This window comes from Homo sapiens, chromosome 18 (genome assembly GCF_000001405.40).
Source record: "Homo sapiens chromosome 18, GRCh38.p14 Primary Assembly".
In the NCBI taxonomy this organism is placed as follows: domain Eukaryota; kingdom Metazoa; phylum Chordata; class Mammalia; order Primates; family Hominidae; genus Homo; species Homo sapiens.
In genome coordinates this window covers 8,708,398-8,726,888 of record NC_000018.10, presented here as the reverse complement: position 1 = coordinate 8,726,888, position 18,491 = coordinate 8,708,398, and the positions used below count along the sequence as shown (strand labels likewise).

At 43.0% G+C, this 18,491-nt stretch overlaps 1 protein-coding gene across 33 annotated transcripts in view, besides 2 other annotated features; it reads right to left on the bottom strand.

The window, feature by feature from the left end:
• The window catches only part of MTCL1 (microtubule crosslinking factor 1), a 127,223-nt gene that overhangs the window by 105,890 nt on the left and 2,842 nt on the right, over positions 1-18,491 (bottom strand). For 27 of the 33 annotated variants that reach the window (XR_002958167.2, XR_007066128.1, XM_024451115.2 and 24 more), the window contains exons 2-3: positions 8,241-8,465; positions 6,393-6,551 (exon numbers count right to left, since the gene is read on the bottom strand). Coding sequence is in view for 31 of the 33 variants with exons in the window: in XM_024451115.2 (XP_024306883.2) it covers positions 6,393-6,551; positions 8,241-8,465 (384 nt within the window). In the remaining 2 variants the exon portion in view is untranslated. Of the gene's footprint in view, positions 1-6,392; positions 6,552-8,240; positions 8,466-8,926; positions 9,509-12,639; positions 12,748-18,491 lie in introns of those variants that run through there. The other 6 variants (XM_017025673.2, NM_015210.4, XM_024451122.2 and 3 more) reach the window with 4 other exon arrangements.
• Positions 1,946-2,529: an enhancer, noted in NCBI's record as "NANOG-H3K27ac hESC enhancer chr18:8724358-8724941 (GRCh37/hg19 assembly coordinates)". NCBI's record gives its function as "activates a minimal SCP1, AML or CMV promoter by ChIP-STARR-seq in primed H9 embryonic stem cells {active_cell/tissue: H9 hESC(primed)}" and the evidence as "EXISTENCE:reporter gene assay evidence [ECO:0000049][PMID:30033119]".
• Positions 17,756-18,257: an enhancer, noted in NCBI's record as "NANOG hESC enhancer chr18:8708630-8709131 (GRCh37/hg19 assembly coordinates)". NCBI's record gives its function as "activates a minimal SCP1, AML or CMV promoter by ChIP-STARR-seq in primed H9 embryonic stem cells {active_cell/tissue: H9 hESC(primed)}" and the evidence as "EXISTENCE:reporter gene assay evidence [ECO:0000049][PMID:30033119]".

The following is an 18,491-nucleotide window of genomic DNA, read 5'->3' as shown; positions in this document are numbered from 1 at the left end:
GGTGCACTAGAAGCCCAAACCTCACTATTATGCAAGATACTCATGCAGCAAACCTGCACACATGCCTCCGAATCTAAAATTTAAAGAAATTTTAAAAAGAATTACCAAAACCCTGGGGTTCAAACCACCACCATCTCTCTCAAGGATTTACTGGAGAAGCCTCCTAACTTGCCTCCTCCACTCTCCCCCTTATTATGGACTGAACGTTTATGCCCTCCCCCAAATTCATATGTGGAAGCCCTGACCCTCAGCGTGATGTTCTATGGAGGTGGGGCCTTGGCCCCATGATGGGGTTAATATCTTTATGAAAAGAGGAAGAAACACCAGAACATTGCTTGTTGCGCGCGCGCATGCGCACTCGCTCTCTCTCGCTCGCTCTTGCGCGCGCGCGCGCTCTCTCTCTCTCTCTCTCTCTCCTCTTATTCTCACCCTCATGCTCTCTGCCATGTGAAAACACAGCAAGAAGGCAGCTATCTGTAAGCAGGGAAGAGGGCTCTCGCCAGGAACCAAATTGACTAGCATTTTGATTTTCGACTTCCCAGCCTCCAGAACTGTCAGAAATAAATGTCTGTTGTTTAAGACAAAAAAAAAAAAAAAAAAAAGAAAAAAAGAAAAAAAAGCTATCCCAAGCCAATACTACCCAAAAGAAATTTGGTATAGATGATGAAAGCAGATAAAAAAGAATTTACAGCAAAAAGCAATACATTAGAATAAAGAGGTCATTACCAACTGATAAAGGGAATAACTCATCACAAGGAAGAGTCCTAAATCTGTTTTCACTTAAAAATACGGTATCAAGACCAGGCGCGGTGGCTCACGCCTGTAATCCCAGCACTTTGGGAGGCCGAGGCGGGCAGATCACGAGGTCTGGAGATTGAGACCATCCTGGCTAACATGGTGAAACCCTGTCTCTACTAAATATGCAAAAAAAATTAGCCGGGCGTGGTGGCGGGTGCCTGTAGTCCCAGCTGCTCCGGAGGCTGAGGCAGGAGAATGGCGTGAACCCGGGAGGCAGAGCTTGCAGTGAGCCGAGATCGTGCCACTGCACTCCAGCCTGGGCGACAGAGAGAGACTCCATCTCAAAAAAAAAAAAAAAAAGAAAAAAAAAAAAAGAAAATGGCACCAAAATACATAACGCAAAGTTTGACAAATTACAAGAATAAAATTAAAATGCGCAATTATAATGGGACCAAAAGCTATAAAGGATATAGAAAATTTGAATACAGCGAACAAATGAGTCAATACATTTTTCCAAATTGCAACAACACACTAATGAACTATAAATCAATCTTATAACCACCATTAAAAAATTTTTTTAGCTGAATGGAAAATAACAGAGTGTACCCCAAATGACAAAGTTAAGCATTACTTTGTTAAACCTTTGTGTATTTGTAAAACCTTTGTATAGTTGTATATTGAGTGATGATGCCCTTTTTGCTGTGGGTTACAATTGAAGTCTTCAATCTAACAGATTTAAATCAAAGTCTGCACCCCAAAACACATTCGTCTCAAGCACACAGGAATCATTACAAAATCTGATGATTTACTATGCACAAAAGAAGTCTCAACCAAACCCAGGGAATCTATGTCATTTTCTGAGCTTGAGGAAAGGCAGCCGCAAGAAGTCGTCTCTTAGTTGGTTCCCTCGGACTCTTTTCAATAACCTGAGCTCACTGGAATGATCTAGAACATGTATATAGTCCCGTATAAGTGCTGGCTAACCTGGCTAGTTGTTATTTGTGTCTAGCACGTAATAGAACTCTAAAAATTGGGGGTAGAATGAAATACTGTTCAGTGAAAGAATTAGGGCTATCTTTAAGAAGTGGAAACTAAGCTAAGGTTAACCATTTTCTACTTTTTGAGAGATTCCACTATAGGTAGAGTTGAATACTAGAAGAAATATATCAGAAAAAAAAAAAAAGATGAAAATTGTTTGAGTTTTGTACAAGCAGAGGGCGTGTGGGTGCCTAGGGTCACAGACTCCAAGAGTGAATAGGCACAGGATGCCAGCAAGCAAGCTGGCTAGTGGGAAGGGATAATTCTAGCCAGATCAGCCCTTTTTTTAATCAATAGAGAAAGTAACTTTTAAAAGATACACCTCTAGTAGTTCAAAAAGAATCAGAGCACACAGTCCTAGTCATCATTCTAAACTGCTCTCCCATTTCAGGCCAACGTTTACAGCCCTGGAGTGGGAAACCCAACAGGGAGCCGGGGATGGGTTAGGGGGTAATAGGCTGCTGTGTCATGCAAAAGAGTTAAGACAAGCCAAGGCAAGTCTGCCTGTTTAAGCAGAGTGACATGTTCAGAATTTTGGCATGTAGAGAAAACAAAAGGAAAGGACTAGAAATCGTGTACACATTCAACGTGTATGGTCAGCCTACACTTTCAGCTCTCAAATACTCGTCTGAGGTGGGGGACTGGTAAAAGTACGGATAGAGTGGAGAAAGAAAAATGTTTTTATTTTGTTTTGTTTTTTTAAGATGGAGTTTTGCTCTTGTTGCCCAAGTTGGAGTGCAATGGCGCGATCTCGGCTCACTGCAACCTCTGCCTCCTGGGTTCAAGCAATTCTCCTGCCTCAGCCTCCCGAGTAGCTGGGATTACAGGTGTGCGCCACCACGCCTGGCTAATTTTTTGTATTTTTAGTAGAAACAGGATTTCATCATGTTAGCCAGGCTGGTCTCGAACTCCTAACCTCAGGTGATCCACCCACCTCGGCCTCCCAAAGTGCTGAGGTTAAAATTCACGTAACAGAAAACAAACCATTTTCAAGTGCACAGCTCAGTGGCACTGAGTACATTCTCGTGTTGTGCAGCCACCACCTCTATCTCGCTCTAAAACATTTTCATCACCCCAAAAGGAAACCGCCTACCCATTAAGCAGTTGGTCCCGCTTCTCCCCTCTCCCCAGCCCCAGGAAACCATGAATCTGTTTTCCGTCTATATGAATTTATCTACTCTGGATATTTCTTATCAATGGAATCGAACAGTATGTCTGGCTTCTGTTACTTAGCAGATTTTCAAGGTTCATCCATGTCCTATCAGGTATCAGTGAGAAAGAAATGTCTAAAGCCTGCAAAAGCCGAACCTACAGCACTGAGCAAGTGGCTGAAGAAGGGAGAAGAGGGTTAAGGGTAACACCATCATCGGCCTTGGGGACTGAAAGGACTCAGAGACCGTTTCACAAATAGGAGACAGAGAAGGTGCAGGGTGGGGCAAGGGGCGATGAGTTTGTTCTGAACAGAGTCTAAAGTGCTAGGAAAAACTCATACTGGAGATGTCCACTAAGCAGCTGAAAACAGTCTAGGGCTTCAGAGAGAAGGGAGTGGTGGCTCCAGAGAGAAGGCATGGAGATGCTGTCTCACGGACCCCTGAGGCCGAGGGGACACACACACACCTGCGACAACTGCTGCTGCTCAGACACACACAACACATGAACTGTCCTTGCCTTTTTCAGGAGGTCACACATCCATTTACAAAACTCCAGAGGTGAACAACAAAAAGTGAGGCGCACAATAGAAAAAATATTATCCTCACCCCAGAGCAAAGCTCAGCCTGTTTGTACTGGCTTTTGCAAAAAGAACCCATTCACAAAGATAGCAGCTGGCATTTTCCAATAAATATTTCCTCCACCACCTTTGAACCTTGTATCATGAGATACCATCGTTCTCTGCTTCCAGTTTAATCTACCAGCATCTAACGCTCCTGGGACTCCTGTCGGTTCTATGATTCATTTAGAAGTTTGGTGTAAATATGCGGTCCCACCACCCTGAATGCAACTCTGGAAGTAAAATACTTATTTCATTCCAATGGAACAATTCCTCTCAGTAATTCTAACCCACAAAGGGAGGGCTGATCCCTCTCCGTTCTCTCCTCACATCCACCCTGAGCCAGCATCAGGTTCTCTGAAGATACTTGTCTCACTCTGGCCTTGCTTTTGAATGTCAAGAGTAACAATAATCATTTCTTCCTTCAAAGAGATGCCAAATCCTACACAAATCCATTTAAATGTATGCAACAGAATCTTCACCTACTTAAAATATATATTTATGTTTAGTTATACACAAATGTATACACATATAAAATTTTATAAAATATAGTTCTACAGTTGACTCTTGAACAACATACTTTTGAACTGTGAAAGTCCACTTATACTCAAATCTTCTTCCACCTATGCCACCCCTGAGACAGCAAGACCAAACCCTCCTCTTCCTCCTCCATCTACTCAACGTGAAGACTATGAGCATGAAGACCTTTACGGTGATCCACTTCCACTTAATGAATAGTAAATATATTTTCTCTTCCTTATGATTTTAACAACATTTTATTTTCTCTAGCTTTATTATAAGAATACAGTACATAATACATACAACATGCAAAATATGTGTTGATTGGCTGTTTTATGTTATCAGGAAGGCTTCCAGTCTACAGTAGGCTATTATTAGTTAAGTTTTGGGGGAGTCAAAAGCTATATACATTATTTTCTCTTTTTTTCTTTAAGAAACAGGGTCTTGCTGTGTTGCCCAAGCTGGCCTCAAAGTCCTGGGCACAAGCAATCCTCCCGCCTCAGCCTCCCTAGTATCTAGGACTACAAGACATGCACAGATTTTCAACTGCACAGGAGGTGACCCCCGCACCTCCAATCCCCACGTTGTTCCAGAGTCAACTGTAAACTATTTTCTATACCCTCTAACTGTTGAGGTCAGGCTCAAACTGAGAAAGGAAATTATTCCAGCAAACTTAGAACAAAGGAACAGGAGGGAAGTAAAGTACCAGCAACTGGTACTTTAATTGAGGCAGAGATCCTTAATTAGAGGACAAATTCCTCGAGTCCTGGGAGCAGACACAAGTCTAAGTTAAGGGGTGAGGGTTACCTGTGATGAAAGCAAGCTCCCAGAAGCTAACCTCTTCCTCTGGGAGGCCACCTCATCTCCCAGGCATGCTCTGATCACACAGCTCTATGCTCCGCCCCCTTCATTCACTCCTCCACCCAGCATGTGCCAGGCACTGTTCCAGGCATGAGGGCCCCACAGTGAGCCAGACAAAGCCCCTGTCCCTGCCCCACAGAGCTTGTGATACGAAGGGGCACTAGTAAAGGAGGGGACGGATAAAAGACAGAGAAAGAAAACACACAGCATTGTCAGATGAGCGGTGACAATAGACAAATAATGTCCCAGAACACGTATGTCAGATGGGAAGGTGAACAGGGCTGGCCAGGGTGGAGATGGGGACAACTTTCACGAGTGTTGAGGGGAGGGGCTGAGTGAATCTCAGCAAGGACCCGAAAGAGATAAGGGAATGAGCCACAGGTGAGTGCCTGGAGAAAGAACATTCCAGCGAGGGCATGCATGGGAAGAGCAGGGAGGCCGAGGCAGCTGTGAGAAGAGGGGTGGGGGCAGAAGCAGAGAGGGGCACGCCTGCTACTTTGCTGTGATTTGTTTGTTTTGTTATCTGTGGGCCTGACTGAACTGGAGGCGCCTTGAGAGCAGGGCCTGCACTGCACATGCACAACCCTACCCAGAGCCCATGCAGGCCGGAACCAGGTGCAGCAGATGGGAGGGGGCATGGATAGGGAAGAACTGTGTGAATCAGGAAACTGTTCCAAAGGAAAAATGAGCCGCTAAGCAAGGCTGCTGGCAGGTGCAGGTAACACACCAGAATTCACTGTGAGCTTAAAGCCTTCGCCAAAGGCTTTTAATTTCAACACATGCAGGACATTTTCCAAGAAAACACTCAGCTTTAATCTTATAATGGAAGTCAATAACAAAACAGGATTTGCATTGCTGTATGCAAATGAAAAAAATATATATTCATTTTCCAGACTACTTTGCTAGAAAAATCACTCCCTACAATTTAAAAATGTCTATATTTAACTCATTTTAGCTACACAGGTGGTGTTACATACATTGTCTGTTTACACAGCTTTAACAGACAACCATAACATACTTTCCAGCTCACTGGAGAAGACTCTGGAGAAAAAAGCTACTTCTTAACTCTGTATTCTAGCAATAATAGGCTCCACTTGGACACATCAAAGGAATTAATGGTCAGCTCATCTGAGTGGTAATTACAAAAACTAGCTTTAGACCAGGGCCCAATAAGCGTTTTCTGCAAAGGGCCAGATAGAAAATATTTTAGGCTTTGCAAGCATCACACAGTATTGAATCCATAGTCTTCTTTGCTTTTGGGGGCTTTCTTTCCTGTGAGTTTTGCTTGTTTGCTTGTTTGTTTACCACGCTAGGAAAAAAATGTAAAAACAATCTAACTTATGAGCCAAACAAACAGGCCACGATTTGCCAACCCCAGCTTTCGACCACAATGAGAAGGGGGCACTTGGAGTTCCAAGCTCCTCCTTATTAAATCCAAGGGGGCAGGACCCCCACAGTTTTGGATTACCTCTTTCAGTCTCTCCAGCTCATTCTGGAGGGCCTGTTTGGATATTTCCACTTCAATCATCTGCTGTCGGAGAGTTTCGTTTTCATCCTCAGCTTTAGCGCGCTTTTCCTCCACCGTCTTAAGTTCGTGGTGCAATCTGACAGATACATCTTTGGCTACCTGCATCGACCCACAGAGATCATTATCAGGATATGAGGCTTTTTGTGTGCTAAGGGTACTATCAGACAACATCAGAGGCAAAATCATTAAGTAATATATTACACCACATAGCAAAGACCCTGGCAATACACAACTGACTTATTGTTAAAAGGAGGAGGAGATTCATTTAAAAATGAAATCAACATCTGGGCTAAAAGGCCACTCTGGCTGGTCTGATGGTGGTGCATTATCAGAACGTGCTAACCTTAGTGTCACTAAAGTTGGTATCCAACCCCCCCAAACTGCTAAATTTAAATGGCTTTAAAATAAATAAATTGTTTTTAAAGCCCACTTTGGATAACCCTCCTCCCTCACAGATGATCACCAACCATGCCAATTCTGCCCAAGCTCACGTGCTTTAAGCGAGAAATTCGAATAATAATAAACAAATAAACATTTATATTCACTAAAGTAATACTGAACCCATCTGCTAACAAAACAAGTAAGTTGCCTGTAATCCCAGCACTTTGGGAGGCAAAGAAAGGAGAATCACTTGAGGTCAGGAGTTTGAGACCAGCCTGGGAAACACAGTGAGACCCTGTCTCTAAAAAAATTATAAAAATAAAAAATAATCCAGGCATGGTGATGCATGCCTATAGTCCCAGCTACTTGAGAGGTGAAGATGGGAGGGTTGCTTGAGCCCAGGAGTTCGAGGTAACAGTGAGCTATGATGGTGCCTCTGCACTCCAGCCTGGGTGACAGAGCAAGATTCTATCTCTAAAATAATAATAAAAAAAAATTCTCTATGCATAAGATGTTCAATGTAGTCAAGTCTTAAATATTGTACTGTGGCTCTGGTGTGGTAAACCATTTGAATGAGCAAAGCAGTTAAACACGTTTACTTTCTAAAAGCAAATGAGGCAAGAGGCCTTGTAAGAGAAATATAAATCACCCTTTATCACACTGAATGACATTTTGTCAGTGGTTTATAACTTTGGTAGAATTACAAAGGTTCTTTTCCTGTTATCACACTGAAAGGCTAGATGAGATTTCACAAGTACTCCGGCAATAAAGAGAACAGTATGCATAATTCATCTCCAGATAAATGATTTGATAATCAGGTCATGAGGGCCTCGCTGCCCACGGAGAGAAAATGGCTTAAAGTCTGGGGTTTCTTCCCATTATTCCCACTTCTCCCAGTGGTTCTCAAAGACACCTCAGACAATTTGTGATTACTTCTCCTGGCATTAGATCCTCACTACACAATTCTCACTTGGGTAATGGGAATGTCAGGATTTCTACATCCTAGAAACCTAAATAACAATAAAAAAATGTTAAGTGATATGATCAACTTTTAAGAGTGGCCTTTGACTACACTGATAATCAATAGATTTTTAAAAAAAATATTTCAGATCTTTCAGAGTTTCTGCAGAATTTCTATCCAATTGTCAGACCCATTGGCAGGTATTAATTCTTCGTTATCACAAATAATCATCATTTTTTTAAAGTTCATATTATGACAAATGTAAACCTTGGGGTGTCAAAGTCATATAACTACACACACTCTATAAGCCATAAAGCAAACCAAGACTGTTTATGCTGCAATCTGTAGAGACAGACACAAGCAGGGAAAAAACACCAGGGCAACGTGCATGTGGCCAGCCGGTCCACAGCAGCCTTGCGAGGTGCACGCACCACCCCCTCACTCACCTTCAAGTCCTGCTCCAGGCTTCGAATAAGCTCACCATCCACCTGACCCGTCTCAGCCACTTTCAGGCTTTTCTGCTCGGCTTTCCGAAGACGGTACTGCAGGATTCGGCAGTTTTTATTAGCGCGGTCCAGTTCTCGCCGAAGTTCCTGCAGCTGGTAAACATCTTCCTCTAAATAACTGTCTCTCATCTCTTCCATCTCAGCACGGAGTTCATCTAACTCATCCTATGCAAATCAGACAGAGAAGATTTATGAGCCAAGTACATCAAAAAAGGATGGCATGTCTCTCCTTCATACCCGCTCCTCAATACTAAATATTGAATACCTACACGCTTACCCATCACCTCATGGCCACGCCTGGGTGACAGGCACCAGAACCTCTGGAAATTTGCATATGAGATAATATAATTGAGTATCTGTTCAAATCTTATGTAACCAGAAGCTAAAAAACTGGATTATTCATTGTGGCCTCTCAGAACTTATCCCACTCCCAACATCTCCCTACATGATCAAATAAAATCAACTCTGCAGATAATTGAACCTTTCAATTCAAACCAAACATTGACCTAAGCCTTTATCTCTAAGGCATAATCTAGGTACTAAGATGAATCATACGGACCCTGCCTTCAAAGAACATAAACTTCAGTAGGATAACAAGTGCTAATTGCCCTGGAACTAAAACATACCTGCAAATGTCCCAAAAATTCTGTTCCACAAGACGCATCTCAGCATTGACTAAGCGACGCTATCCACAAATGAGACATTTTCCATTATTTTAAATACACATTGGGTCTGTTTTTTCCCATTCACCTATTCTGACTTTCCCACACCTCCACTCTTTGCTGTCCACAGGAATGCACCCTGAATACAGGGGAACCCAAGGAGTCATTTCATTCCTGGCTCCCCCTCCCCTCCCATTCTACAGCCAAGCCCTCAGCCAGAGCTGCGCCCCTTCCGGATGGATCACCCTGGTCCAGGCCTCCATCCCTGGGGGAGGGGAGCCACACACAGATGTAAGTGGAGACACACAGGTGCCCACTGCTCAGCTGGCCCTCTAATCCTCCTACAGTCTGTCCCCCACCCAGCAGAGTAATCCTTTTAATGTGCAAATCAGACCACCTCACTCCCTACTCAAACCCTCCAGGGGCTTCCTTCTTTCCAGGCCTCCTGGCCACACTCCCTCCCTGCCCACGACTAGCACAGGGTCTGAGACTGCTCGCACCTTTGCTTCTTCAGGCCTCAAGACCTCGCCTGCTATTCCCACTTCTGAAAACACTCCCCGCTCCAGATCTCTGCAGAGCTCATTCCATCACATAATCTGACGTCATGCAAAGCCTCCCCTGGCCACCCTCATCAGCCCGAGTCTCTAGTCTCTTGCTGGCTCTATTTTCTTCCCACCTCTGAGTGCCATCTAATAGTATTGGTATTTTTTCCTACTTACTGTCTGTCACCTACACTAACAAGGTAAGCTTCAGAGGGGAGCAAGCTTGTCTGTCTTTCTCCTCTCTGCATCCCGAGCAGCATGGAGCACACGGTAGGTCCTCAATAAATATTGCTGAATGAATACACAGGTGCGCCAGTGAACACTTACAAACACCAAGTCAGAAAGGCGACTAACATCAGACACAACTGCACGCTCGCTTTGTTCCAGTCTTGCAGCCCAGTGATGAAAGCTTCTTCCCAAACCCACAGATGTAGCTGCAGGTATGAGATATTCACTCTACTGAAGGGTTACACAAGATTTAAAGGAGGAACAATTTGGAAGGAGGAAGATTAAGGAAACATTCTAGGGATTTTCTTGACTAGTTTCATAATTGATAGTTTCAGATGCCTCCAGAATAGCATGCACTCAGTTATTCCCATTTACTTTATTCAATTAATATTAAGGTTCAAGAAAAAAAAATCTCTCCTATACTCAGACACCCTAATTGTCCATTCTCGTCCTGCTATTCCCTTTGTTCCTGGATTTTTACCACTCATGCTAATCCTGTATTTATTCTTAAAAACAGGAATTGACTAACAATAAAGAACAAGGTGCCCAACATCCGAGCCTCAGACAAAAAAAAAAAAAAAAAAAAATGAACAAAAAGAAATCTCCTGAAGATGTGTTTATCCTAGGTAAGATTAAGTACAAGAAACACAACAAATAAAAATGTGAATCCTTATGGAAAAATAAGGGTTGGCACAAAATGGGGTGATGATGATGCTTCGGTCAACCTTACCTGCACACAATGGTCTACTGGAAAGGGCACAGATATGGCAACTCATCCCCCAATCCAGCATGTAGGTTCTCTCCACTCTGCCTACACTATCCCATCAAGAGAACGAGCTACTCACTTGACCAGGACTCATCTGGAGCCTGTTTCAATAGGCTACCAAGGAGAACAGATGTTAAAGAAGAAACCTTCACCAACTTCCCAGTAGTCAAATGCATAAAATGTTCTTCTTCTTGGCTCCTAAGTGCTCCTACAGAATTTCTATACCAATGATGAAAATATTAAAAGTATAAGATGTCCTAATGTGTCTTAAGAAAGATCAATCTTAACACTGAAAATGTTGTGAACTCGTAACCAAGTTTCATTTCTTTTTTCCTCCATGGAAATCTCTCCTGGTAAATCCTGGTCCTTGTGGGAAGATCTGCTGGAACTGGAAGTTACTGGACTGAGCATAGGAGCTGATCAGCTGAACACACATAAACAGAATGGGTGGTTTGGGCTCTTCAGGGGACCAGAGAACACAGCTCTTTCAGGACAGTGCTTGACAACCTTCTGCAAACCTTCCACAAACAGGAGGTTGTTACTGATGCCTGATCACTGAGGCTTTGAAGACGCCCTATGGGAGCTGTGCCCCTGCACTACCCACTCCTAGAGGAGGTCAACTGGAGACTGAAAGCTTTAAAATGAGCCTTGTGGTTGTCACTCTTTCGATAGAGTGGGAAGTTAGTTCTGAATCTTCAAAAATCAACGTCAAGTTTGATTCACACCCCATCCATGAAACTAATGGATCAGACTTTGAGAAAGAACCTAACCGCAATGCTTGTTTCTGAGTAAAGAGGTTAATTGTTTCACTGAGTCATTAATACAAATCAGTTCAATACAAGCAATAATCACTAAATGTTCAACACTAAGTCAATATCTGTATATGTATATGTACATGTATATCCACACATACAAATATACAGTGACTCTGGCCATTCTGTTCATGGAAAGAATGGTTTGTGATTGCTTTTCTTTCCAGAAAGCCTGCCAAAGTCATTAATGCCTGGGATTATCGGCAACTAAGACAAAAGTTTTTAAAATGCAATATAGCCCTAAGATGCAAGATACAGCTTCCAGGTATAAAATGTCTCTAGCTTTCAGACTTTGCAACTGGAGAGCCCACATCCACCCTAATGTTAAATGCTGCATTTTCATACAGATGTTACAGGCTATGAAAACTGTTCAAGGGCTAGATGCACCCACACCTCCACATCATTGAGCAGACCAGATGTAAATAGCAATATTTTTTGGCACAAATAATCACCAACATTAGTTGTACTGCAAATAAAATTAGGGGCCGGGTGCGGTGGCTCACGCCTGTAATCCCAGCACTTTGGGAGGCCGAGGCGGGCGGATCACAAGGTCAGGAGATCAAGACCATCCTGGCTAACACAGTGAAACCCTGTCTCTACTAAAAATAAAAAAAATTAGCCAGGCGTGGTGGCGGGCACCTGTAGTCCCAGCTACTCGGGAGGCTGAGGCAGAAGAATGGCGTGAACCCGGGAGGTGGAGCTTGCAGTGAGTGGAAATCGCGCCACTGCACTCCAGCCTGGGCGATGGAGTGAGACTCCACCTCAAAAAAAAAAGAGAAAAGAAAATTAGGGAGAGATCATATGATATGGTTTGGCTGTGTCCCCACTCAAATCTCATCTTGAACTGTAGCTCCCATAATCCTCACGTGTCACAGGAGGGACCCAGTGGGAGGTAACTGAATCACGGGGGCGGGTTTCTCCTCTGCTGCTCGTGACAGTGAGTAAGTCTCAAGAGAGATCTAATGGTTTTATAAACGGCAGTTTCCCTGCACACGTTCTTACGTGCCTCCATGTAATATGTGTCTTTGCTCCTCCTTTGTCTTCCACCATGATTGTGAGGCCTCCCCAGCCATGTGGAACTGTGAGTCCATTAAACCCTTTTTTCTTTATAAATTACCCAGTCTAGTGTTTCACAGAAGTATAAAAATGGACCAATGCACCATAACGGCATGTATTTAAATCACTGCTCTTATAATTCATATTTTACCTAAATTTACAGAACAGGCGTCGTTTATTAAGCACCTCACCCTCATTACTAACCCTACAATAACCCTGTCAGGAACACATTATGCAGTTGATAGACAAAAAAACAAAACTGAGGCTAGTTACCTGTGTCCAAAGCTTCACATCTAGTAAATTGAAGCCACACTGCAAACCCAGGCCTGTCTGCTTTCAATCACACACTCTTTCGAGTAAATACCATAAATTATTTGCTTCAACCTGGACAAATGAAACAATAACAGACCTTCAATTGTACTTTTAAAAGTCCACCATCAGTGTAAAACAAAAAAAGCAGCCTAACATTTACAGCTCGACAAGTGACGACACAAAGCATATCCATTAGGGCAACTGGTTCTTAGGAAGACACTGCAACGTGCGGTAAAGATATCCGTGCCCCTTCCCCGCTTTTTTTAAAGAGACAGAGTCTCACTCTGTGACCCAACCTGGAGCGCAGTGGTGCAGCCATGGCTCACTGCCACCTTGAGCTCCTGGGCTCAAGTGATCTTCCTGCCTCAGCCTCCTGAGTAGCTGGGATTACAAGCACATGCCACCATGCCTGGCTAATACTCCCATCTTTAAAACGAGGAAACTGAGATTCTAAAAGTATAAATGGCTTTCCACCATTATTGGTCTGCTGCAGCAATAGGACCAGGGCCAGTGTTTCAACTCTTCCCAGAGAGCCTAGAAAAAAGTAATTTTCAGGTTCAGTGAAAAGAAGTTAAAGACAAGCAAATTATAAACCATGTAAGCTGGCAGCAGCCATCTGAAAAGCAAAAACTATGATTACTGGAATTAGGGTCATGATGGATAGTGATTTTCAAACTAACATTACATTAATTTTCTGACGGCATGCTCCAATTTAGAAAACTGTATTGCAGAACCTTAATGACATCTGCCAACTAAAAATTTAAGTAAACCAAATCGAGCAGAGCATATGATGTTTCTGACAGGTGTAATTTAGAGATAGTACATAAAATTGGAAAATCGCTGTTGTCTTTTTATACACGGAAATAAGAAAAAGCTGTCCTTAATAGTTTTTTACTGAATTAACATCAAGTCTGGAGGATACTTAAGTATTAAATCATTATCTCATTGAAAAGCTAGTTTTAATTAAATACCTTTTTAAAGTTTTGTATATAAAACGAAATCTTGAAGTACTGTGAAGTCCAGTCGACTATTCCCCTTTGCCTGTGGCTGACAAATCAAGCCTTATCATGTATCTCAAATTAGAGGAATAATGAGGTACCAGGTGTGCACTAGAGTAAACCAAGATTAAAATTATATGTTTTAATGAAAACCTCTAAAAGGATAGTTTTATCCATGAATATATAATAAAAGTCAAATCCATGGCTTCTTAGTATAAGTGATGAAAACTCTTAATCATGTTAATAACTATATGAAAATCTTAATCTCTTTTAAATACCCAAAATCAGTAACTATCTCTATTTTAGCACCTCCTCTTTAAATAGACCCAGTTTGGATGGTAGAAGGAGTCCTCTGGCTACTGCTGCAATAATTCTATCTTCTGGGCAGACAGAAACTACTGTCTTTTGTAACATACGAATAATCCACCTCATTTCCCTCCAGACAAGGGAAATGTTCTCCAAGAGTCCCAGCTGTAACTAAGGAGGTGCAGGGCGACTCCCACTGTCTACCAGGTGATGGTCCAGCCAGCAGCTGGTGGCCGCAGCCCTTGTCTACATTAACTGCCACTGAAAATGATCATAGCCACTCTTTCAGTGGCTGAATACAGAGTGGGTATGGACAGCGAATGTCAGGAAAGAATGGGGAATACTGTCCATGTTAACCCTTCTGAAAGAGAAAGGAGGAGGAGGCGGGGAGCAAGGAGGCGCTGAGACACCTCAGCTACAGAGCACTGCTTGCGCTCCTCTCCAAGTGCCCCTCCACCCCCAGGCCACACTGAGCACCCGGCATCTGGGCAGCCCAGCTGCCAAATGTCAAAAACCAGGTCAGGGCCTGAAACTCAAAAGGCTAACTCCAATGAGAAGCAGGATGGTAAGCTTGGATCAGCAGTGAGACACTGCAACCTATAAAACCAAAACTCAACCTCTCCCTTAGGAAATCATTCCTCTCCAAGAAGCCAATTTTCTCTGCCCTTGTATCTAGCACCAACTTGTTTTCTTTTAACAGAAAAATATTTCCTATGAAATAACTGAGAAAGCAAAGCAAAGCAAAAAGAAACAGCTCTTCCCACCCCAATCCTCACCCACCCTGCAGGAGGTCAGCATGGCAAGAGGACACTATTTGGGGGTGGGGGAGGTGTGGGGTTATGGCTGCTAAAAGCATTTTCAAAATAGGCTCATAAATGCCAACTGATTAAATCCTCCTGAAAAGCCTGTGGAAACAGAGAACATAATTAATATGTTGACAACGAGCACTCCGGCTTGTCTGACTGTCTCCGAGCACTCGAGCAAAACACAGTCTTGGCAGCCTGGCAGGGAAGGAACACACCAGCGCTTTACCAAAGTCCTCAGCATTAAGAAAGTGCCTGGGTTCAACCTACAACATGGGAGAAAATTTTTGCAACCTACTCATCTGACAAAGGGCTAATATCCAGAATCTACAATGAACTCAAACAAATTTACAAGAAAAAAACAAACAACCCCATCAAAAAGTGGGCGAAGGACATGAACAGACACTTCTCAAAAGAAGACATTTATGCAGCCAAAAAACACATGAAAAAATGCTCACCATCACTGGCCATCAGAGAAATGCAAATCAAAACCACTATGAGATATCATCTCACATCAGTTAGAATGGCAATCATTAAAAAGTCAGGAAACAACAGGTGCTGGAGAGGATGTGGAGAAATAGGAACACTTTTACACTGTTGGTGGGACTGTAAACTAGTTCAACCATTGTGGAAGTCAGTGTGGCGATTCCTCAGGGATCTAGAACTAGAAATACCATTTGACCCAGCCATCCCATTACTGGGTATATACCCAAAGGACTAGAAATCATGCTGCTATAAAGACACATGCACACGTATGTTTATTGCGGCATTATTCACAATAGCAAAGACTTGGAACCAACCCAAATGTCCAACAATGATAGACTGGATTAAGAAAATGTGGCACATATACACCATGGAATACTATGCAGCCATAAAAAATGATGAGTTCATGTCCTTTGTAGGGACATGGATGAAACTGGAAATCATCATTCTCAGTAAACTATCACAAGAACAAAAAACCAAACACCGCATATTCTCACTCATAGGTGGGAATTGAACAATGAGATCACATGGACACAGGAAGGGGAATATCACACTCTGGGGACTGTCGAGGAGTAGGGGGAGTGGGGAGGGATAGCATTGGGAGATATACCTAATGCTAGATGACGAGTTAGTGGGTGCAGCACACCAGCATGGCACATGTATACATATGTAACTAACCTGCACAATGTGCACATGTACCCTAAAACTTAAAGTATAATAAAAAAAAAAAAAGTAAAAAAAAAAAGAAAAAAGAAAACAGATTAAAAAAAAAAAAAAAAAAAAGAAAGCCTTCCATACCAAAATTCAAACCCCTCCTTTATCAGACATTGCCCTAGACTACTCAAGCCTAACATAGACTAGTTCCCAAGCTTTACTCCCTGCCCCCATTTATTGCTCCTTTATGCTACAAACATGATTGCAAGAGGGAAAATGTAATTTTTAAAATTCACTTTGGTAAAAGGGATTCCAATGATTTCATTACCACCTTAAACTTTTGTGAAAAAAAAAAACTCATCACTTTAAATTATTAAAGTGTATATTTAACCATTATTGTCATCCAGGTACACTTTCAACAGTTTTGTTTCTATTAAGGCTGTAATTATTTTATAAGGAAACATTAAATATTTACCATAATTAAAGAGAAAAAAAAAAAAAAAAAAAAAGAAAGTGCCTGGGTTTTATGAGAAGCCCAGGCCTTTGGATAACTGAAGTGCTCACCTGAATTTCTGAATACTTCCAAATGTATTTGAGTTTATCAGAGGTCAAAGGACAACAAGAGTGCTTTTCTGTCTGTGTTTTCACACAAAAGCCAGCTACCTGGATTGATTTTGCATTTTTCACCTAGTCACCCAGGCACCATTTGATGAAGGTGGAGAAGGAACAGAAAGCAGAGTCAGGGACGACCAAATTTGCTCTGTTACAGCACAACACAAGGTGTCCGCTTCTCTGTTGACACTGACTATTTAAAAAAATACAGGCCAGGCCGGGCGCGGTGGCTCATGCCTGTAATCCCAGCACTTTGGGAAGCCGAGGCGGGCAGATCACCTGAAGTCAGGAGTTCAAGACCAGCCTGGCCAACATGGTGAAACCCTGTCTCTACTAAAAATTCAAAAACTAGCTGGGCGTGGTGGCGGGCACTTGTAATCCCAGCTACTCCGGAGGCTGAGGCAGGAGAACTGCTTGAATCTGGGAGGCGGAGGGTGCAGTGAGCCGAGATCACGCCACTGCATTCCAGCCTGCACGACAAAGCAAGACTCCGTCTCAAAAAAAATAAATAAAAATAAAATAAAAAATACAGCAGCCTGGCTAAAAGCCAAGATAATTCCACTTAAATGTCCTGATCCGAAGAATATCCTCCTAAGGTTTTGCTGGACTTATTTTTCTATTGAATTGGGCTTTGGTCATTCTAGTTCAGAAACTGTCACAGTCTTGTACAACAATGATGACAGCACTTACTTGGAATGCTCCAGAATATAGCAACGTAAAATTTGTGGGCCGAGCCTCTTATCAGATACATTGGAATAGATGAATGCTATACCTAATCCTGAGAGTTAGTTCTGTGCAGTGCTCCCTAACAAAGCAGCAGGTCAAGGACGTACTTTTATCTACCCTCTTTAAAAAGTACCCCACGAGGCACAGAGGCTCAAACTTGTAATCCTAGCACTTTGGGAGGGCAAGGAGGGAGGATCACTTGAAGCCAGGAGTTCAAGACAAGCCTGGACAACATAGCCAGACCCTGTCTCTATAAAAAAATTTAAAAATTAGCCCAGCTTGGTGGTGTGTTCCTGTGGTCCCAGCTACTTATCAGGATGAGGCAGGAAGATCACTTGAGCCCACGGGTTCAAGGTTGTAGTGAGCTATGATCATGCCACTGCACTCCAGCCTGGGCCACGGAGCAAGACCATCCCTTCAAAAAAAAACCACAAAAAACGGAAAAAATACCCCTGAAAATAACAAAAAGAGAAGTTTTGATTTATAAAGGGCACACGCTAACCACCACTGCAAAGGCATGACTACTGCCTCTGCCACAGGGGGTCCCTGAAGCTCTGGGCCCAATTTTGCACATGTGGGCAGGCTCCACGACCTGTAGAAAAGTCCATTAGGATCCCTGCGTTTCCTTCCCGAATTGAACTATTGTCATTTAAGCTTCTGAGTGGCCAAATGAGTACCTCACATGCATACACGCAATCATCTGGTTTGCTAGCCTCCTTCACAACCCTCTTCTCTCCCCTGCTGTCGGAGGAACAGTGGGGAGGTGGCCTCAGGCAGAGTAAACGGATGCAAGTGACACCTTCTCCACAGTAAATGGCAACTGAACAGTCCCCACAACTGAAACACTGGCAGTGGGATTTATGTGACCATTCGTACACAGGCTAGTGGAGAGACGGGCATGACGGCCCTCTCACCTGAAAAGAAAACAGAGGGCCCCTAGAAAAGCTCACCACAAGGAACATTTTGAGCTACGAAAACAACTCAGAAGCAGTGTGCTCGGAGGAAAGCAGCCTCGCTGGAAATAGGGCTGCATCCCGGTGCAGTAAAATGGGCAGAGGCTCTGGGGAAACGCAGGTGCCACCTCTTACTCACTCTATGACCTTGGCCAAGTCATTTCTGTTTTAGGTTCTCAGCATCTCCGTCTGTGAAATACTAGTTATGATCATGATACCACCACCACCACCCTATGTTGTTGGGAAGATCCAGTGAAATAGCAAATACACTGTATCAG